This window comes from Homo sapiens, chromosome 8 (assembly GCF_000001405.40).
Source record: "Homo sapiens chromosome 8, GRCh38.p14 Primary Assembly".
Taxonomy (NCBI): Eukaryota; Metazoa; Chordata; class Mammalia; order Primates; family Hominidae; genus Homo; species Homo sapiens.
Window position 1 is genome coordinate 66,989,493 of NC_000008.11, and position 23,645 is coordinate 67,013,137.

At 39.1% G+C, this 23,645-nt stretch overlaps 1 protein-coding gene and 1 pseudogene across 5 annotated transcripts in view; one reads left to right on the top strand and one right to left on the bottom strand.

The window, feature by feature from the left end:
- The window catches only part of PPP1R42 (protein phosphatase 1 regulatory subunit 42), a 64,452-nt gene that overhangs the window by 25,390 nt on the left and 15,417 nt on the right, over positions 1-23,645 (bottom strand). For 4 of the 5 annotated variants that reach the window (NM_001364911.2, NM_001364912.2, NM_001364910.1 and 1 more), the window contains 2 exons: positions 23,466-23,604; positions 21,223-21,339 (listed from right to left, as the gene is read on the bottom strand). In NM_001364911.2, coding sequence (NP_001351840.1) covers positions 21,223-21,339; positions 23,466-23,604 — 256 coding nt within the window. Of the gene's footprint in view, positions 1-21,122; positions 21,340-23,465; positions 23,605-23,645 lie in introns of those variants that run through there. The other variant, NM_001348563.2, reaches the window with a different exon arrangement.
- On the top strand, positions 22,280-22,453 carry LOC124902097 (uncharacterized; annotated as a pseudogene).

Genomic DNA, 23,645 nt, shown 5'->3' on the forward strand with positions numbered 1-23,645 from the left:
GGCCAAAGTTCTGTTCTTTATTTTTCTTTATTTTTTCTGTTCTTTATTTTTAATATCAGATACATTTAATCTGTAATGAATTACTCAACAAAAGTAGTGCACATAGCTTGGCTATTGTGAATATTGCTGCAAAGAACATGGGAGTGCACATGTTGCTTTTAAAATAGTAATTTCACTTTCTTTGGATATATACCCTAAATTTAGTCTGCACTAGACTTTGAGGGATTCCAATAAGTAATTTATGTGAAAATATAAGACATTGTTTTTTTAAAAATAAGGCAATCCTAAACTTCCTGGCACTGCTGCTTACTGTGTGACCTTAGGCAAATATATGTCTTCATCTATAACTTGAGGTTAATTAAGATTAGTTGCCATGGCATATAAAGTGCCTGGAACAAAGAAAGTAATAAATGTGTCAGTTCTCTGCCTGTTTGCCTGCCCTGCTACCTCTTAACTAATTCCCTTTCTCTTAATTTTTGTCAACAGAGAGCGAAAACATTTTAAGTAAGGAAGAAGAAACTTCTTGACCTATTGACAAATAAGTAGTTGACTTTTTATAAGAAAGTTATCTTCATAAATTATAACTTCAGCCTTCAGTTCTGGGCTCTGGAATATGCCTTCTCCAACAGCATTTGTTTGGCAGGGTTTAATAGAGCCGTAACTATCTTATTTTACGTTGAGAGTTACATTGTATTTCTCTTACTCTAAAAACCTATAAGGAAGGGATTATGTATCACATTTTTTACAGTGTTGAATGTGATGCCCATCATCTAAAAGTTAATACAAACACTTAGAGAACGTTAAATTAATATAGATAAAGAGTGCTTAGAGTTTTGTTAATTGTTCTTTACTTGATAAATGACCTTCGACATACTCCCTCCAGTGTATGTTTATTTAAGACTAAACTAATCCTGTGCTGAAATACGATTACCCTTTGGATACGCTCTGGTTGTTCATTGCCTTCCTGTCTTTAATAAAAAGCTTTCACTTTCCTGCTCTTCAATAAGTTACTAAAGGAAGCAGACACTTTTCTGGACAGTCTCTATTTGATAAATGATCATGTCATGCTATCACTTAGAGGAGTGCTGCAAAATACTAAGGAGCAAATTCTATTTCCCCTGCAGGGCTGATGCCTAAGCTCCTTTCTAGGCGTCTGCAGCACAGCAATGCTCTCTCTACCATTAATGATGACCGCTGATGAACCTGTATTTGACCAGCATACTCCAATCTTTATCGGAAATGTCTGGACCAACCGTCCTTACTAAATCTAAAGACAGCCATTTGTCATCCTTCTGACTGCCTGTCATCATCTGCCTGGGAAAATCTATAATTTTTGGCTTGTTCCTGACTCAACTGTGCAATGAATAAATTTATCTTTGGGTCACTCTGCTTGTCAGGATCAATATTGAGCAGAGGTTGAATAAATTAGAAACTGAGAAAACATGACAGGCCGTAGAAGTTTGTTCATTTGTGTCTTATAAATCAGATATTTAGTTCATATAAGAGGCAAACATGTCAAATTTTTTATTTCCCTCATTCATACTGAAGATTCTATACCTCATGATAAATGGTCATCAGAAAACCAATGAAGTAAATCACTAATATATCTGATTTTGAGATGAACTTTTCAGATAATTGTATTGATTTAGCAAACTTTACAGACTTAAAAACTATAGGTAAAGATTAAACTTTTTTTTGTTCTTCAAGTTTTATACATTTTTGGAGCCATGATATTTATTTGACTTAATAGTGTCAGCAAGCTATATAATGCTGGCCCTAGTGAAGTTCATGGCTCAACTTAGCCTCATCAGGCTACTTGTACAAATGCAAAAGTCTTATTGTAAATTGTTGTTAAACTATCTAATAATTTTTATACATTGATGAATATCTGTTTAAAGGAGGTACAGGAAAAACATGCAAAGACATGTTAACCAAAAGTAAATGTCATTTAAACTAGAGCCCTGTAAGTTAAAGGAGTTTCTACACTATGGAGTATTGTTTGGCCTAAAACCTCTCTTTCGCCTTCTCTTCAGTGGTTGACCTTGCCACCAATTTTACTGGGGAGAAGTGGGTCATCCGTCCACCAAGTTTTCTCAGTTATCTGCCTTTGATTTCACACTTTCTCTTCCATTCTTCTTTTCCATTTTTCTCAACAAAGGAAGAGTCACACCTCTTTCCCCAGGTTAAGTAGTTCTTTTGTTCCCAGCCTTTTCTTCCTGGGATCTTCTCTCCCTTCCATTTCCATTTCCAGTATCTCCGTCTTATCTGGAGTTTATTTTATCTCTTACCTACCATTGCCAAACTTCTTGAAGACTGATCCGGACTAATGCTTCTCAAACTTTCATGTGCTTAAGAATCCTGAGTGATCTTATTTAAATGCAGGTTCTGAGTTGTTAGGTCTGAGACAGAAGCCGAGATTCTGCATTTCTGCTGCTGCTGCTGGTCTAGGTCCCCACTTGGAGTTGGCCTAGTCTACTGCATGGCTATAGTGTGGATAACAGCTGGTTGCTTCTTCAACCACTGGGCACTCCTGCAATCTGGTGCCACTGAAAAGGCATTGCTAGCCTTATCACTGATCCACACATTGCCAATCACATACTTTCCCAGTCTCAATTCTTTGGAATATCGTACCCTGGTCACCACTCCATGGCTTTGTGATTCTACGTTCTTGCATGGATCCTTCATGAATCTCTGACTCCACAAGTAACAAACCTCTGACTACAGAAATCCCCAATGTATGAAAAGGCTGTTTCATACATTGGGGAAATCTCTATTAAAGTTTCCACCATCTCTCACTTCCTAACTAACCTGGCCTCTTCCAATCTGTTCTTCATATTGTAGCCATGTGGATCTTTTCAAACCGCTAATCTCAGCCACATACCGAGAACTGAACATCTAACTAATAAAACATCTAACTAATAGAAGCAACTACTAATAAAACATCTAACTAATAGAACATCTAACTAATAAAAGCAATGCTGTAAGAACATCTATGCAGTGACAGTCTTCCCCATAATGCATCAGCACGTTTCCAGAGAGCGAGAGCTCTCACTGGGGAGCAGGAGCATATGTCCCTGGTGGGAGAACCTTGGGGACCAATTCACTTGACTCCTTTTCTATAATCTATGTTTATTCCTTTCAAACAGTGTTGGTTTCCCTTCCCTGGACCACAGCAGAATGTAAAATCACAGCTAGAAAAAAGTTTGCCTCCCGTAACCCATTGCCTTCTCTATTTATACTTAGACCCTTTATAGAAAAAGAATGGCCACATTTATGATAATAGTCAAACTTCTGTTACCCTAAAGAAAGAGAGGTCATCTATTCACAAGAGGAAGAACCAAATTATGTGGGAGGCCAAGCTGAGCATTTCTTTGTACTCTCTCCCCTCCCGACTATAGGCAATCTTGTCGATGATAGTAGTTTCAGTGACCACTTAATACGCTGAAGATTCACATTTATTTATCCTCTGAGCTGTGGCCTCATATGTCCAATTATGTACTTGACATTTTCTCTGGAACATTTCAAAGGCGCTTCAAACCCTACACTACCAAAACTCATTATCTCTCAAACTTGACTCTTGACTTCTTTATTTCTCATTGTGCAAGGCAAGAAGCCCAGGAATCACTCTTGACCTCTCCTTCTCCCATGCTCCCTATATCCAACTCACAACCAAGTCTTATCCACTTTACTTCCTAAACAGCTCTCCAATCTGTCCACTCCATTTCCATCCCTACCTTATTAAAGTCTCCATCATCTCTCACTTTGTAACTAGCCTGGCCTCTTCCAGTCTGTTCTTCACACTGTAGCCATGCAGATCTTTTCAAACCGCTAATCTCCAGTTACTTCACTCCTGGCTTAAACACCTCCACTGGCTCCTCATTGTTCTAAGGATAAAGGCAAAACTCTCTTTCATGCCTATGTGGCCCATCTACCCGCTGGCCTCTGCACTATGTTCCACCTTCACTATCTCAGCTTCTTATCCCTCATATTTGCCATGCTCCAACCTGCCCCAGGACCTTGGCACATGCTGTTTTATTTGCCTGATAAGTGTTTCTTTTCTCTCAGAGCTCAGCTATCCCTTTCTTAGAGAAGCCTTTAGTGACCTCTCTAACTAGGACAGATCCCTCTCTTATAATAGGCTCGCAGAGACACATACTTCATTTTTGTGGTACTTGTGCAATTTTATATTTGTTTTGGGATGACTATGTGCTTAATGTTTCTCTTCCCCTGAATGTTGAGAATTCCTCAAGGCCAGGGATCATATCTGTTTTCTGCTCACTTTTGTGTCCCCCATTGTCTAGCAAGTACTGCCACATAGTAGGTGTTTTCAATGAATGTATGAGAGATGAATGAATGAATGAATGAATGAACAAGAGAGGGCCAGGTGACCTAAGGCTAGAAGCAGGACAGGAATTATAGGGAGAAATAAGATGGAACCATTTTTGAAGAAGTTGCTAATTAGAGGTGCTGCAGACATGGAAAGAGAGAGAAAAGAAAGACTATCTTCTCTTTTCTTCTATTTCCTCCTCTATCCCTTCTCTCCATTTATATATCCTCCTGTCTAGAAGTCCCTGCCCTGGACCAGTTTTGGATTAAGGAATAGCAGAGATGAAGGCAGAGTTAGAGGATCTTGGTGGTAAGGAGTCCTTGGCAGTTGTGGGTCTAAAGATGTGAGGAGAGGAGAGGGAATGAAATCTCAAGCAGCAGGAGGGCCAAAAGTTGCTTGGCTACCCAGCTTCTTACAGGTAGCCTCTGTAATGAGGCATATCCTGTGCCTCAGCCTCTAATGCAGCCACTCCCTTGTGGCTCTAGGACCCTCAGTAAGCTAGGGCATGGCATTGTTTCAGAATGCTTATATTTCCTGGAAACCCAGTTCTCTCTTTTCTTTCCACAGAGCTCAAGAATTTCAGTCCCTTGGTAGCACTTTTCCTTGCTACATGTGTTCCTTTAAATATCTTCCTTTCTCACTGCTCAAACAAGAATCTTGGTTGAAAGATTCAAAGTTGTTTAACCATCCTAAGGGATCATTATTTTTTCATATTTTCTTAAAGTAGTCACTTACAAAATGTGTCTTCTATGCCAAAAGATATATACATTCAGTTTGATGGAACAAGACTACAAGAAGACAATTTGTAGATACACACAAATTGCTAAGATGCTTTAGTTTATAATACTTTGCAAAAATCTATCTGCAATATTGATTAACAGGACTTTCATAGTATGGAGTAATCTATTACAATATTTATAATAATACAATGGTGTGACTAAGGTTCCTTTTAAAAACATTTGAATATTAATTTTAAATTTTGAATATTTACTTTTAGAGATAATAGTAAATTATCAGCAAAAGTAATAACTTTAAAATGATAATTTCCTGTGTAAGAACTACACTAGTTATTTCCTGTATTTTCTGTAGGCACACTTAAGGAACTTAGGTCCATATAAAAGCAGCTGCTCTAAGTGCTGAAAACCTTGGGTAATTACAGTGGTTTTGTTAGGATTCTCTAATGATGTCCATTTCTTTTTCCCCATGGCACAAAGCTGTCTGTTGCTGACGATTCAGGATGGATGTCAGTGACCTTATATATGGCATGAGAGATTTTTTGCCTATAGCACAGGGTTTGATGTCAGTAGCTTTTGGACAATGTCAGTGAACAAAAAGAAGGAAAAAATTAAAGCCAAATATAGAGATGCTGCCCAGGAATACATAACAGAAAAACGAGTTAATATTCTGATGCTAGGCTTCAACATGTCCTTTGACTAAGCCTTCAGAAGATTATTTAAAATGAACCACAAAAAGCACATTTCAAACATATCCTGGGCAATGTCTATATTCAGAATGCCAAGAAGCTGTGTCCAGGCATTTTTAATTGTTTGTGTCTTCATGGTGGAAGTAAAAGAACTTAAGATTTTATTCTTACTCCTTGGATATCTTCACTCTATGGGAGGGAAAAGCAACTTTTGGTATATACCAACAGCTGGAACTCAGTGAATGGTTTGCATTCCTTCTCCAGAATATTTTTTTGTGCCCTTCTTCATTTGTTCTATAAACATACAGTAGGTGCCTGCTATGTGCCAAGCACTGGGCTGGGCTCTGGGTAACCCTGAAGTAAATAAATCAAAATTCCTTGCATTCAAAGCTACTCAGTCTAATGAGGGATATGGTGATACACAATAACAAGGTTATATTGATCAAGTTTCCTCACCAACCATTCTCTATTTAAATTATGTTAAAAAATTAAAGTGAGATAATCAACACAGTTAAAATATCAAATAAGATCATAGGGTTTATAACAAAACTTAAAGAGTATGTCAGGGCTTATAACAAAACCACTTTCAACTTCTTCAGCTATTTCTACACACATTTATGTCCACATTTCTAAATAACAATGGCTATTTTTGATTTTTAAATCTTAGATATTTATCTACTAAATTTCTACTATGAAAGATGATGATTTAATTCTCATAAGTACTACCTCCAACCCCTACTACACTTCCCTTCTCCCACTATGTCAGTAGAGTTATACTAACATTGTTAATTAATTTTCACTGAGTGTCTTATTATTATTATTATTTGAGACAGAGTCTCACTCTGTCACCCAGGCTGGAGTGCAGTAGTATGATCATGGCTCACTGCAGCTTTGACCTCCCAGGCTCAAGCGATCCTTCCACCAAAGCCTCCCGAATGGCTGGGACTCAGGCATGTGCCACCATGCCTGTCTAGTGTTTCTGTATTTTTTGTAGAGATAGGGTTTCACCATCTTTCCCAGGCTGGTCTCGAACTCGTGAGCTCAATCAATCCTCCTGCCTTGGCCTCCCAAAGTGCTGGGATCACAGATGTGAGCCACTGCACCTGGCCAAGTTTCAGTGACTATATTATTAAGCTCAATTAAGTATTCTTCACAGCTAAACTACATAGTACACTAGGATTGCCTCTTCTTTTCCCTAGAGTTAAAAATTGCCTAATTTCTTAGTTTTCTATGTACTTACCACAGTTCAGTCTGTTGCAGCATGGGCTGGGTGCCTTCTAGCCTACCGTACAGCTGCTGTCCTAAGACTTACCTTCACTTCTGTGAATTTCCTTAGCTTTTCTACTGTTTCCTAGATACCATGTCTTCCCTTTTCCTAGTTTACTCTCCTGTTTAGGTGGAATACTCAATTTTTATGGGTCGTGCTTTTTGCGTTCTTTTAAAGAAATCTTTATATTTTTTCTAGAAGTTTTATATTTTAGCAGCTAAATTTGGATATGATCCATTTTGAGTAAATTTTTGTGCATGGGGTAAAGGGTGAAGGTTCACTTTTTCTATTTGGATATCCAGTTGTTCCACCATTTGTTGAAAACATTATCCTTTCTTCCATTGAAATATTGGAATTTTTGGCTGGGCACGGTGGCTCACACCTGTATTTCTAGCACTTTGGGAGGCTGAGGCAGGTGGATCACTTGAGGTCAGGAGTTCAAGAAAAGCCTGGCCAACATGCCGAAACCCTGTCTCTACCAAAAATATAAAAAATTGGCTGGGTGTGGTGGCATGTGCCTGTAATCTCAGCTACTCGGAAGGCTGAGGCAGAAGAATTGCTTGAACCCAGGAGGCGGAGGTTGCAGTGAGCTGAGATTGTGCCACTTCACTCCAGCCTGGGCAACAGAGCGAGACTCTTAAAAATCAGTTGACTCTATGTGTGAGTTTATTTATAAACTGTTCTGTTTCCTTAATCTTCATGGCCACCCTATGTCAATGCCACATTGTCTTGATTATCGTAACTTTAAAGTTGTGAAATCAGGTAGGGTAAGTCTCCAAATGTATTTTATTTTATTTATTTTATTTTTGAGAAAGGATCTCACTTTGAAACCCAGGCTGGAGTGCAGTGCCATGATCATGGCTCTCTGCTGTCTCAACCTCCTGGGCTTATGAGATCCTCTCACCTCAGCCTCCTGAGTAGCTGGGACCACAGGCATGTTCCACCACACCCAGCTAATTAAAAAAAAAGAGTGATTCTCTAGCCTCAGACTCCCAGAGAGCTAGGATTACAGATGTGAGCCACTGTGCCTGGCTTTTTTTTTTTTTTTTTCCCAAGAAACACGGTCTCACTCTGTTGCCCAGGCTGAAGTACAGTGGCACAATCATGGCCCAATGTAGCCACGACCTCCAGGGCTCATGCAGTCCTCCCACCTCAGCCTTTTGGGTAGCTGGTACTATAGGCCACCATTCCCAGCTAATTTTTTTTAAAAAAAAAAACACCTTTTAGAGGAGGGGTCTTGCTATATTGCCCAGGCTGGTCTCAAACTCCTGGGCTCAAGCAATCCTCCTGCCTCATCCTCCCAAAGTACTGGGATTATAAGCATGAGTTACCATGCCTGTGATGGTTTTACCAATTGGTTCTTTTTACGCCTTTTCTTATAAATTTTAGGGTTGATTTGTCAATTTCTAAGAGAAAAGAATCTGAGATCTTGATTGGGATTATGTTGAATGTATAGATCAATTGAAAAGGAATTAGCACTTTAAGAATACAGAGCCTTCAACCATGCATGTGTAGGGGCAGGCAGTATATGAGAAATCTCTGTACTTTCCTTTCAATTTTGCTATGAATCTAAAATTAATCTAAACAATAAAGTCTATTAAAATAAAAAAATCAAAACCAGAAAAAAAGTCTATTAAAACAAAAAATCAAAACCAGAATACAGTCTGCTAATACACGAAAATGGTATCTCTCTCCATTTATGTAGATCTTCTTTAATTTCTTCCAATATTTTGTGTTTTTATTGTACAGCTCTTGCACAGTTTTAAAAATGTATCCCTAAGTATTTTATATATCTGATGAAGTTATAAATGCCATTTTAAAAAAATTCATTTCTAGTTGTTCACTGCTAGTCAATGGAAACACAGTTACGTTTAACATATTGACCTTGCCATTAAGCATATGGCTTTGCTAAATACACTCCATAAGTTCTAATAGCTTTTTGCAGATTTCTTATCATTTTATATGTACCCAATCACATAGTCTGCAAATAAAGAACATTTTGTTTCTTCCTTTTCAAGCAATGTCATTTGTTTCATTTTTTGGCCTTATTGCACTGGCTAAGACAGGTGCAACTCTAAGGTTGAGTAATGTGGTATAGCAAACATCCTTCCTTTATTCTTAATCTTAGGGAAAGCATTCAATCTTTCATCATTAAGTATGTTGTTATGTAGATTTTATATAGATGCCTACTATCAGGTTAAGTTCCTTTCTATTTACAGTTTGCTGATAATTTTTAAAAATCATACATGGTGCTGAATATCATGCATTTTGTGCATCTATTGAGATGATCATATAATATTTCTCCTTTATTCTGTTTGGTGAATTACATTCATTTATTTCTGAATGCCAAAACAATCTTGCATTCCTGAGATAAGCCTCACCTGGTCATTGTGTGTTTTTTTTTATATATTTCTGGGCTTGATTTGCTAATATTTTAGTAGGGATTTTTGCTTCTCTGTTCATAGGGTATATTGCTCTTTAGTGTTCTTGTAATATTGCTGGTTTGATAACATGAGTTGGGAAGTAGTCCCTGCTTCTCTGTTTTCTTTCTTTTTTCTTTCTGAGACAGGGTCTTACTTTGTTCCCCCGGCCAGCTGGAGAGCAGTGGCATGATCTCAGCTCACTGCAGCCTCGACTTCCTGGGTTCATATGATCCTCCCACCTCAGCCTCCTGTGTAGCTGGGACTACAGATGGGCACCACCATGCCTGGCTAATTTTTTTTTTCTTTGAGATGGAGTCTCACTCTGTTGCCTAGGCTGGAATGCAGTGGCATGATCTCGGCTCACTGCACCCTCCACCTCTTGGGTTCAAGAGATTCTCCTGCCTCAGCCTCCCAAGTAGCTGGAATGACAGGCATGTGCCACCACACCCAGCTAATTTTTTTATTTTTAGTAGAGACGGGGTTTCGCCACATTGGTCAGGCTAGCCTCGAACTCCTGACCTCAGGTGATCCTCCTGCCTTGGCCTCCCAAAGTGTTGGGATTACAGGCATGAGCCCTGGCTAATTTTTGTATTTTTTGTAGAGATGGGGTCTCCCCACATTGCCCAGCCTGGGTTTTGAACTCCTGAGCGCAAGAGATCTGCTCAGCTTGGCCTCCTGAAGTGCTAGGGTTACAGGCATGAGCCACTGCACCTGGCCTTGCTTTTCTATTTTCTGAAAGCATTTGTGTAAGATTGGTATCATTTCTTTCTTAATTGTGTGATAAAGTGCATCAGTGAGGTTATCTGGTCTTGGAGTTCTCTTTGCGGTGAGGTTTTTATTTGTGAAATATGATGTATTTAATAGATACAGAGCTATTCAGACTTTCTGTTTCTTATGTCAGTTTTGGTATTTATGTCTTGCAAGTAATATGTTTTTAACTAAGCTGCCAACCTTATGGCATAAAGTTCTTTACAACATTCCCTTCTTATCCTTTTAACTGTAGTGACATAGTTTTCATTCCAGATATTGTTAATTTGTGTTTTCTCTGTTTTCTTGAACAGCCTAGATTGTTTATTAATTTTATTAATATTTGCAAAGAACCAGCTTTTGGCATCATTGATTTTTCTCTAATGGTTGCCTGTATTTCTATTTCATTAATTTCTGCTGTTATTTTCCTTATTTCCTTTTTTCCTTCATTTTAATTTCCTTCCTTCAAATTAATTTTGAATTTAATTTACATGTATTTTTCTTGCTGCTTGAGGTACAAGATTAGAGCATTGTTTTAATTTTTCTTCATCTTAAATTTATTATCATTATTGTTTGTATTTTTCCCTCATTCTTGTTGTCATTTTATAATTTTTTTCTTTTCTACTATAAGCATTCAAAGCTATAACTTTCCCTCTAAGCATTACTTTACTGTATCCCACAAATTTTCAAATGTTTTGTTTTCATTTTCATTCAGTTCAAGTATTTTCTAATTTTCTTTGTGATTTCTATGGACTTTGTTTCATTTCATATGGATTATGTTGATAATTTTGTTTTTTGATATAGGGTCTCACTCTGTTGCCCAGGCTGGAGTGCAGTGGTGTGATCTCGGTCACTGCAGCCTCCACCTCGTAGGCTCAAACGATCCTCCCAACTCAGCCTCCTGAGTAGCTGGGACTACAGGTGTGCACCACCATGCCTGGCTAATTTTTGTATTTTTAGTGGAGACAGGGTTTCACTATGTTGCCCAGGCTGGTCTTGAACTCCTGGGTTCAAAAATTCCACCTGCCTCAGCCTCCCAAAGTGATAGTATTAGAGGCGTGAGCCACTGCACCCAGCTCTAAATATTCTAACTCCTATTTTAAGGTAGAATGTTCTATAAGAGTAAATTAGATCAAGTTGGTTGGTTATGTTATACCTATCTTTTATATCATTACTGGTTTACTATCAGCTTGTTCTATCAACCAATGCAAGAGAAGTGTTGAAATCTCTGTTATAATTATGGGTTTGTCCATTTCTCCTTTTACTTCTGTGAATTTTTACTTCATATAGTTTGTAATTCTATTGCTAGGAGCATAACTTTGAGGATTGTTATGTTTTCTTAAAGAGTTGGCACTTTTTATCATTATAAATTTTCCTTATATATCTCTGGTAATATTTCTTGTCCTAGAATCTTTTATTTTATATTAATGTAGCCATTTCATTTTTCATATTATTTGTGTTTGCAGTATATTTTTTTCATAATTTTATTTTTAACTCACATATCTTTATATATAAAATGTGTTTCTCTAGAGAGTACCATTGGATTTTTTTTTTTTTTTAAAGCATAGATAACAAGACCCAGGCTGCTCTCGAACTCCTGGGCTCAAGTGATCCTCCCACCTTGGCCTCCTAAAGTGCTGACATTACAGGCGTCACCATGCCCGGTTAAGATTGGATTTAAAAAAAAATCCGGTCCTACTATCTCTGCCTTTTAATTGAACTATTTAAATTATTTACATTAATATAATTATTAATATTAATATTAATATATAATTATTGATATTGGCTGAGTTTAAGACTACTGTCTTGCTATTTATCTTATCTGTTCTTTATTTCCCTTTTCTTTTCCTATCCCCTACTTTTTTGTGACATTTGAGTTTCCCTTATTGGCTTATTAGTTGTAAAAATCTTCGACTATATTTTAGTAGTTGCTTCAGCGTTTAAAACAATCATTTTTAAATATGCACAGGTTACTATCAAATAGCATGGTACTACTTCACGTATAATGTAAGAACTTTACAACAATATACCACTATTTTCTCCATTCCTGTCATTTGTGCTATTGTTAGTTTATTTTACTTTTACATGTCATAAACCTCATGCTATATGGTTATTATTTATTTTGCCTTCATTTTATTGCATGTGTGGTTGCACACATCAGTGATCCCAGCTACAGTGAGGCTGTGGCAGGACGTTCACTTGAGCTCAGGAAATTTAGGCTGCAGTGAGCTGCGATCACACTACTGCACTACAGACTGGCCAACAGAGTAAGACCCTGTCTAAAAACAAAAATTATCTCAGGTTTTATTTTTCTTTATTTTGCCTTCATTTTTTTGAAGGATGGTTTCACTGGACATATATAATTCTAAGTTGACAAGGGTGTTTTCCTTTTAGCATTTTAAATATGTTTCATGATCTTCTGGCTTGCATTGCTTTTGACAAGAAGCTTGTAATAATTCTTATCTTTCTATGTACATAAAATATCTTTTAAATATCTTTTCTTCTGGTAGCTTTTAAGATGTCTATATATATTTTTTTACATGGAGTTTCACTCTTGTTGCCCAGGCTGGAGTGCAATGGCACGATCTCGGCTCACTGCAACCTCTGACTCCCGGGTTCAAGCAACTCTCCTGCCTCAGCTTCCCAAGTAGCTGGGACTACAGGCATGAGCCACTACACCTGGCTAATTTTGTATTTTTAGTAGAGACGTGGTTTCACCATGTTGGCCAGGCTAGTCATCAACTCCTGACCTCGAGTCATCCGCCCGCCTTGGCCTCCCAAAGTGTTGGGATTACAGGCATGAGCCACTGTGCCTGGCTTTTAAGATATTCTTATTATCATTGGTTTTCTAGCAATTTTACTGTAGTGTACTTTGGTGTAATTGTCTTTGGGATTTTCCCGTTTGGGTTTTGTTGAGCTTCATAGATCAGGGATTAAAATTTTCATCAAATTTGGCAATTTTGGGGCCACTTTTTTTGTTGTTCTGTGTTTGTTTGCTTGTTTGTTTTGTTTTGAGATAGGGGCTTGCTCTGTTGCCCCCGCTTTTTTTTTTTTTTCAGTGTTTTTTTTTTTTCCGTGCTTTACTTTGGATAGTTCTAATACTATGTCTTTAAATTCGCTGATCTTTTCTTGTACAATGGCTAATCTACTTTTAATCCTATCCAATGAATTTTTTATTTTAGAAATATTTTTAGTCAGGCTTGGTGGCCCACGCCTGTAATCCCAGCACTTTGGGAGGCCGAGGCGGTTTGGATCGCCTGAGGTCAGGAGTTCGAGACCAGTCTGGCCAACATAGTGAAACCCCCATCTCTACTAAAAATACAAAAAAAAAAAAAATTAGCTGGGCGTGGTGGCGGGTGCCTGTAATCCCAGCTACTAGGTGGGGCTGAGGCAAGAGAATCTTTTGAACCCCGGAGGCGGAGGTTGCAGTGAGCTGAGATCGCACCATTGCACTTCAGCCTGGGCAACAAGAGCGAAACTCCGTCTCAAAAAAAAAAAAAAAAAAAAGAAAAATATTTTTTAGCTCTAGAAGTTATGTTTTCCCCACACTTTCCATTTCTCTTCCCTTTCTGTTCATGATTTCTTTAAATTATACAGTATATTTATAATTTTTTTTTAAAGTCTTATCTCCTAATTCTATCCTTCATGTCATTTCTGGGTTTTTTTTTTGACTGATTTTTCTCTGGTTATGATTTACATTTTCATGCTTCTTTTTTTTTTTTTTTTTTTTTCCACAAGACTACATCTAAAAGCAAGATTTTTGTGGTTCTTGTTTGCTGTTCCTCTCCCTGCACTGTGGTCAATATTCATCTTGTTTTTTCTCTTAGGGACAACAGGCCTGTGCTGCCTATTGTCCAAGGTCTGAAAAAGTTGTTTCACATATTTTGTCTAGGTTTCTGTTTGTTTTTATGGAGGGCAATTCTGGTCCTGGTTACTACATCATGGCCCATTAGATTATCTTAAGCTATAACTTAAAAACATATTTCTCCATTTTCCCCCTATTGCTGTGGTCCAAATGTGTCCCCCAAAGTTCATATGTTGAAACTTTTTTTTTCCCCTGCCTTATTCTTCCTGGACATATGTTGAAACTTAATTGCCAATGCAGTAGTATTAAGAGATAGGCCTTTGGGGCTGGGTGCGGTGGCTCACGCCTGTAATCCCAGCACTTTGGGAAGCCAAGGCGGGTGGATCACAAGGTCAGGAGATTGAGACCATCCTGGCTAAGACGGTGAAACCCCGTCTCTACTAAAAGTACAAAAAATTAGCCGGGCGTGGTGGCGGGCGCCTGTAGTCCCAGCTACTCGGGAGGCTGAGGAAGGAGAATGGCGTTAACCTGGGAGGTGGAGCTGGCAGTGAGCCGAGATGGCACCACTGCACTCCAGCCTGGGTGACAGAGCGAGACTCCGTCTCAAAAAAAAAAAAAAAGAGGTAGACCTTTAGGAAGTGACTAATTTATGAGGGCAGAGCCTTCATGAATGGATTAGAACCTTATAAAAGGGTGATTTTGCTCCTTTCATCCCTCTGCTGTATGAGGACACATCCCCTCTGAATGCCGCAAGGCTCTATCTTGGAAGCAGAGAGCAGCCCTTGCCAGAAACCAACCTTTGCTGCCTTGATCTTAGACTTCCCAGCCTCCAGCACTTCCAGAAGTAGGTTTCTGCTGATAAATTAATCAGTCTCAGGTATTTTGTTATAGCAGCAAAAATGGACTAAGATACCTATTCTCTGATTCTGGTACTCTTATTAGTCATATATTGGATCTTCTGAATTAATTCTTTAAGTTTCTTTTTTACTTGCTTATATTCAGTTCTTTTTGTTTGTTCTTTCTGGGAGACTGTCAATTTTATCATTTAAACTTTATATTGAATATTTAATTTCCTCATCCTATTTTTAATTTCTAAGTGCTCTGTTATTCATGTTTCTTTTAAAAAATAGAATCTTGCTTTTATTTTGAGGTTATGGAATCTTTTTCATTTCTCTTAGGAAATTATAGTGGGATTTTAAAGGATTGTTTTCCTGTTTCCACATGATTTATTTCTTCGGAATTCTTTCTTTTTGTTTCCGTTTCTCTCTCTTTGATTTTAGAGGCTCTTTTCAGAGGTCTCCTAATCCTGAGCTGCCTGTTTATTCATGAAAGTGAATGAGAGCTTTCTGTGCAAGGGCAAGGCTTGTTGACTGTCTCACTGTGGGGCAACTGGGCAGGCAGCTGGCATTTTCCCTCTGAAACTCTTAAATATCAGGATTGGGAGATGTTTTCTCTTGAGCTAGTCAGTTTCCCTAAAGAGGAATGAATTCACCAACTTTTGCCCAGCGTTTTAAAGCCATGTAGGCAGGGTTTTGAGAGTAGAGCCTACTTGTATGCATGAGAGGGAGATAAATATTGGCTAACATTTCAGTGTTTAGTCTTTCATGAAATCCACCCACTTTTTTTTTTTTTTTTTTTTTTAGCATTACCATTTGTTGTGGTTTTTGACCCACAGACTCTGTGGTTCAACTTCTTCACAAATTAAACTGGTCCCCTCTAACTTTGTTGTTCAGGTATTCTATCCAGGCATTCTTTAAACTCTCCTCTGCCCTCATGTTAACCATTCAATATCATTCAGTGCAGGTGGCCACTCCCTCTTTCTTGAAACTCCTTTTTCTCTTCTTCTACATCATTGACTCCTGATGGAACTGATCTCTAAATACTGGAGTGTTTTTGTGATTGGTCTTGGTCTCATTTTTTTCTCTGTCTCTATTGTCTTTCACCCCATGCCATGACTTTTAAATATCATGTAAATGCTGTTGACTCTCAAACTTTCCAATCTTACTTCTCCCTTAAACTCCAGATGCTTACTTGACATGTCCATTTCAATATCCAATAGGCATTTTACGAGGTGGAATTATTCTGTTTCTTCCTTATAAAGGCTACCAGTGTCTTCCTGGTTCCTCACACAAAATTTAGGAGTCATCCTGATTCCTTCCCTTCCTTTATGCCTACATCCTGCTCATCAACAAGTTATATGAATTCCACCTTAAAATATAACTCATTACTTCCAAACCCACCCACTCCTCTTCATCTCTAAGCAACCATCTTCTCTTATTTAACTTCTGCAGTAGTCTCCCAACTTATCTCTTTGCTGTAATTCTTGAAACTCATTCTTCATATAGCAATAGAGAATTGTTTTTTTTTTTTAAAAATCCTTCAGTTGACAGAGGAAGGGAAGAAAAAGAAAACAATGCTTTCAGTGGCTTTCTATTGCACTTAGAATAAAGTAAAAACTTGTGATCGTATCCTAAAATGACCTTTATGATCTGGCCTCTGTGCCTTCCTTTCTAATCTCATATTGTACTGTTGCCTCTTCATTCACTCAACAGTGTATTTACTGAGCACCTACAATGTATTAGAAACTAAGCTAGGCACTGGGTACCATACTACAGTGTTCCTTGGACACTCAAGCTTTCTTTGGCCTCAGAGCCTTTGCATCTACTTTTGCTAGTGCCTGGCATGTTCTTTCCCTAGCTCTTTGCATATCTTCTTTCTCATCCTTCAGATCTCAATGTAAATGTCATTTCTTCCGAGGCCTTTCGTAATAACCTGATCTAAAATATCCGCTGACTCCTTTTTTTCTGTTATCTTATTTAATTCCTTCATAGCACTTTTCAAAATCTTCTCTGCTTAGGTCTCACTCTGTTATCCAGTCTGGAGTGCAGTGGGTGAATCACAGTTCACTGCTTCACTGCAGTCTTGCACTTTGGGACAAGGGATCCTGTCCTGGGCTCAAGCGATCCTCCCACCCCAGCCTCCTGAGTACCTGGGACTGAGTACCTAAGTACAGGCACATGCCATCACACGAAGCTAATTGCTAATTTCTTTTTTAATTTTTTTGTAGAGAAAAGGTCTTCTTGTGTTGTCCAGGCTGGTTTTGAATTCCTGGCCTCAAGCAATCCTCTCCTGCCTTGGCCTCCCAAAGTGCGGTGATTACAGGCATGAGCCACCATACCCGGCCTTGCTTATGTATTTTTTTTAACCATTTCCTCCCTTGTCCCTCTGTAAAGTAAACGCCTTGAGGGTAGAGGCTTTTTTTTTTTTTTTTTTTTTTTTTGAGATGGAGTCTCGCTCTGTCGTCCAGGCTGGAATGCAGTGGTGCGATCTCGGCTCACTGCAAGCTATGCCTCCCGGGTTCACACCATTCTCCTGCCTCAGCCTCCCGAGTAGCTGGGACTACAGGCGCCCACACACCCGGCTAATTTTTTTGTATTTTTAGTAGAGATGGGGTTTCACCATGTTAGCCAGGATGGTCTCGATCTCCTGACCTTGTGATCCACCCGCCTCGGCCTCCCAAAGTGCTGGGATCACAGGCGTAAGCCACTGCGCCCGGCCTCTTTTTTTTTTTTTAGTAGAGACAGAGTTTTACCATGTTGGCCAGGCTGGTCTCAAACCCCTGACCTCAAGTGATCCACCCACTTCAGCCTCCCAAAGTGCAGGGATTACAGGCGTGAGCCACTGTGCCTGGCCGAGGGTAGAGACTTTGTCTTATTTATCATGTATCTCCAGTATCTTAAGATGTGTTTTTCCAAGGGCCTAGAACAGTGCCTGGCACATGTAATATATTATAGTAGTTCCCACCACCCCCTTGTTCAGTTGCCCTCAGTCACCTGTGGTCCAAAAATATTTAATGGAAAATCCCAGAGAAAATAATTTGTAAGTTCTAAAATGGATGCTCTTTTTTTCACTCTGTCACCCAGGCTGGAGTGCAGTGGCACAATCCTGGCTTCCTGCAACCTCTGGCTCTGGGTTCAAGCAATTCTGCTTCAGCCTCCTGAGTAGCTGAGATTACAGGGTGTGCACCATTGCTCTGGGCAAATTATTGTATAAGGTTTCGCCACGTCAGCCAGGGTGATCTTGAACTCCTGGCCTCAAGTGATCGGCCTGCCTCGGCCTTCCAAAATGCTGGGATTACAGGCATCAGCCATCTAGCCCAGCTGAGTACAATGGAAGCTATTCTGAGTATCATGATGAAATCTTGCACTGGCCTGTTTGTCCTGCCCGGGGCCATGAATTATTCCTTTGTCCAGCATTTCCATTCTATACATGCTACCAACCCATTAGTCACTTAGGTTATCATATCTACTGTGTCACTATTATAGTGCTTGTGTTCAAGCAACCCTTATTTCACTTGCCCCAAAGTGCAAGAGTAGTGATGCTGACATTGTAACTGTTCCTTTTTTTTTTTTTTTTTTTTTGAGACGGAGTCTTGCTGTGTCACCCAGGCTGGAATGCAGTGGCAGATCTCGGCTCACTGCAACCTTCGCCTCCCAGGTTCAAGTGATTCTCCTGCCCCAGCCTCCCAAGTATCTGGGACTACAGGCGCCTGCCACCATGCACGGCTAATTTTTTGTATTTTTAGTAGAGATGGGGTTTCACCGTGTTAGCCAGGTTCGTCTCGATCTCCTGATTGAGTGTTGGTATTACAGGTGTGAGCCACCGCGCCCAGCCTCCATTTATTATTATTGTTGTTAATCTCTTAGTATGCCTAATTTATAAATTAAACTTTATCATAGATATGTACATTTAGGAAAAACTAATATATGTAGCATTCGATACTACCCATGGTTTCAGGCATCCACTGAGGGTCTTAGAATGTAGCCTTCACAGATAAGTTGGGACTACTGTAAATATTTTTTAATAGATTAACTTGATGGGGAGGTTCAGGAAAAGCTACACAGGGGAGATGATATCAAGTTCAGTCTTTAAAGAGGATTTGGGCCATGGCAGTGGCTCATGCCTGTAATCCTAGCACTTTGGGAGGCCGAGGCAGGTGGATCACCTGAGGTTAGGAGTTCGAGACCAGTCTGGCCAACATGGCGAAACCCCATCTCTACTATAAATACAAAAATTAGCTGGGCGTGGTGGCACATGCCTGTAATCCCAGCTACTCGAGAGGCTGAGGAAGGAGAATCTCTTGAACCAAGGTGGTGAAGGTGGCAGTGAGCCAAGATCACACCACTGCTCTCCAGCCTGGATGACAGAGTGAGACTCTGTCTCAAAAAAAAAAAAAAAAAAGAGGATTTAGATGTTGGTCATTAGAATAATAAGCAACAATGAAGGTATTTATTTTGGCTGCACATTTATTCTGGTTATGCATTATTAACATGGTCTAAGAGTAATCATGTAGGCAAAACATCTTTGTCTTAATGTCATGCAGAAAAACCTCCTTTGGGATTATTTAGAGGCTAGAAGTTTTGCCCTGTTATCAAACTCCCCTTTCTCTGTTTGGAGTTAAAAAGCATAATAGAATAACTCTTTAAAAGTAATGGCCGTTACCAGGCTGGGTGCAGTGGCTCATGCCTAGAATCCCAGCACTTTGGGAGGCTGAGGCGGGCAGATCACTTGAGCTCAGGAGTTCGAGACCAGCCTGGCCAACATGGTGAAACCCTGTCTCTACTAAAATACAAAAATAAGCCAGGCATGGTGGTGCACATCTGTAGTCCCAGCTACTCGGGAGGCTGAGGCAGGAGAATGGCTTGAACCTGGGAGGCGGAGGTTTCAGTGACCCAAGATCACGCCACTGCACTCCAGCCTGGGCTACAGAGTGAGACTCCGTCTCAAAAAATAAAATAAAGGGCCGGGTCCGGTGGCTCACACCTGTAATCCCAGCACTTTGGGGGGCCGAGGTGGGCAGATCCCCTGAGGTCAGGAGTTCAAGACCAACCTGGCCAACCTGGTGAAATCCCATCTCTACTGAAAATATAAAAATTAGCTGGGTGTGGTGGCAGGCACCTGTAATCCCAGATACTCGGGAGGCTGAGGCAGGAGAATCACTTGAACCTGGGAGGCAGAGGTTGCAGTGATTCAAGATCTCGCCATTGCACTCCAGTGTGGGCAACAGAGACTCCATCTCAAAATAAAAAGAAAAAAAAAATGTAAAATATATTTTAATTCAGAATTTATCCCATGAACGTCTTACATTTTTCACATTGTAAGTTGAAACAACTAATTGAGTTGTGCTTCCTAAGGTCTTCTTATTTGAAACATCCACCCTGATTATTCAATTGCATTTTAGATATTTTGAGGAATTCATTTGTGCTAGAATACATATATTTATTTTCATAATTATATATTGCTTATAACAGCTTTGGGATGAACCAGGTAATAGGTCTGAATTTGGAAACAAGGTCGACGTAACATTTTTAGGGTCACCAAATGGCTGTGTGGAAGTAGTTCTGAAAACAAAAGCTGTTTTTGGGAGAAAGAAGCTCATTCTCCTTCCTGTGGTTCGTATGTCAAGAAATTATACCACAGCTCATTCCGTTGCCAAACCAGAAACTTTGAGGTCATAGCAATGGCTCAACTCATGGATGACTGTTTCGAGGAAGCCTTCTATAGCCCTAGGCTGACTTAGGGCTATCACAATACTTATAAAAACAGTATCATATTGTAGTCCCATTACTAGTTGATTGTAGGTTTATTGCAGATCAAGACCGTATATTCCTTCCTTTGTTCTACACTGAGTAGTATTAGTGCCTGACAAATATTTAGGTGGCCAATACATATTTGATTAAATGAATAATTGAATGAATATGGCATGATATGATATAACATGACATTAATATAGCTGGTAGAAATTAGAGTAAGTTCAGTCAGAATCATTTCAAGTACTTCCCCAAAAAGAAGTAGCCAAGAGAGAGTTCAGGTCTAGTCACAGTTACTAGAAACTCATTCATTGGGAGATCAGGCTTAAGGGACAAGAAATCTAGTCTCTAGAAGAAAAAGTTTGATGGGAAAATAATGCAAAGAAGAGATACTTCCCTTCTCAGAGAAACTATTATTCTGTTGGTGAGGGATACAGGTATTGGAGTATAAAGGAGAAAACTAAATAAGAGGACAGAATTATACACATAAATACATTGAGAAGTAGGGATTCATTAGCTAATTTTAGAACAAATCCAGAGTAGTTTTTAATGTGATATATTTATTTTATAGCTATTACAAAACATTTTTCAATCATAATTTCATGTAAATATCTTAAAAATTAATTTCTCTTTACACTACCTTCACATGCAGAAGTTGGTTGTCAACGGCTATGAGCTGATTAAGATTCTCTAGTAGTTCTAAGTCTGTAATGTCATCAATATTATTATTGCTGATATTCAATATACAGAGGGATTTCTGTAAGAAAAATAACGAAGTTAGCATTAGTAAATAGTCTAAATACTGTATATAGGAACCAGAAATCCTAATCTTTGAAAAGTTTAAGCTTGATCAGTTCAGGTTGTTTTGTTCTTTAGGCAAAAACATCAAAAGCCATGAAATTCTTTTTATTGCATTTTTTTTTCAGATGAAAGTTTTAGAACCACAGTATGTCATATAACTTACCCGTTCTCCCTATAATTCCTCCATAAGTCATATTTTTCTTTTCCAAGATACAAAATAAACTTATAGAATAAAGAAGCCAAGAATCAAAAAGCAAAGAAAGAAAAAAAGATGCCCCAATAAACAAGTAACACAATATAGAAAAAATGCTTACTGTAGCTTTAGCAAATTATCATTTTGTGCAAAATATTACTAACATTTGTACTTACATAGGGGTGCGGTGGCTCATGCCTGTAATCTCAGCACTTTAGGAGGTGAAGCGGGCGGATCACTCGAGGTCAGGAGTTCAAGACCAGCCTGGCCAACATGGTGAAACCCCATCTCTACTAAAAATACAAAAAATTAGCTGGGCATGGTGCCACACGCCTGTAGTCCCAGCTACTTGGGAGGCTGAGGCAGGATAATCACTTGAACCTGGGAGGTGGAGGTTGCAGTGAGCAGAGATCACGCCTGGGCGACAGAACAAAACTCCGTCTCAAAAAAAGATTTGTGCTTACATAGGAAGAAATAGTTTTTGTCTTTATTTTACTAAATAGGAAACATGACCAGGAATAAAATAATATCTGGTTTTTATTTTTCTCTCTACCTGTCTATATGGTTTTCTCTTATCAATCCATATGTTCAGGAACTACTTAAAATAATAATTAGCTAATTAACAGGAATTTCAGTGTTGCTGTAACACTAAATCAGAGTCATCTTATGAGGCTCAGGAATCTCTACCAAGATGGAGTCAATCATCAATTCATGGCCTTTTGGCTAAGATCAAGTGTAGTATCTGTTCTTGTTAGTTTAAGTTTAAAAAAAACATGGAGGCATCCATGCACAGCCAACCTTTAGAAAAAATATTTCCTGATACTAAAGTACTGGGAGAACTACCTCTTAATTTTTATAAATTTGGGTCAAAATCCATCCACTATCCTCTATTTCTGGGCCCTCTAAAATAAAACTGATGAGGCCGGGCACGGTGGCTCACGACTGTAATCCCAACACCGTAATCCCAGACTAGCCTGGCCAACATGGTGAAACCCCATCTCTACTAAAAATACAAAAATTAGCCAGGCGTGGTGGCGCACGCCTGTAGTCCCAGCTACTTGGGACGCTGAGGCAGAAGAATTGCTTGAACCGGGGAGGTGGAGGTTGCAGTGAGCAGAGGTCGTGCCACTGCACTCCAGCTTGGGCGACAGGGTTTTTTTAATTTTTAAAATAAAAATAAAATAAAATAAAACTGATGAAATCTGTAAAACAACTACCATGTCCCATTTATGTGTCCTGCCCCAGAATTAAAGTTAGCCTGTCCCAACAAGCCTCTTGTTTTGAGGATTAGCAGGAGCCTAAGTGGTACCCTCTGGCTTCTCAATTTATTGTGGCACCTCCATCCAATGTGACTGGTTTCAGGCGACACAGTTGGGGCCCCAACCCCAGGGCTCCCAGGCCTACATAGTTCTGATGTGGTAGAGCTGTATGTAGTGCAATCTACAATCAAATCAGGATCCTAGGAGAAAACAACTTATTATTCCAATGGCTCTCTACTAGATTGTTTAAAAGTTTCCAAATAATTGCACATTCCTCTCTCCTTAGGCATTTTCCTAAAATTTAAAATGTTGAGCCATGATAATCACCAAGGTCCACATTATGAATGAATGAACATCTGTATTAGAACTTCAGTTAACATACCTTTTCACATTCTTCTTTTCATCCTTCCAGTTACCCAAAGAGGCAGGTTTTATTATCCCACTTTATAAATGCTGAGTCTCTGAGATTGTACATGAGAAAATCAGCTTCAGTCCTCTGATAAGCTCTGAGCTGGCCATATAAACATGAAGAGGATGTACAATGTCCAAATATACCTTCACCACATTCCTGTTTCATTATAACTTGTTAATCACTATATTCCTTGTCAAAATATTCAAATGTGAACTTACTGCCAGAGAATGAAGAGTTCTTGGATCAAACAGAAGCTTTTCCCCAAGGGGAAGCCTCTGATTCTCAACATGAAGCTCTCTTAGTTCTCCTAATCCTTCTAAACCTTCTATGACAGCAATGTAATTGCCTCCCAGATACCTGCAAAACATAGACATAATTCTAAACAGACATTCTGAGAA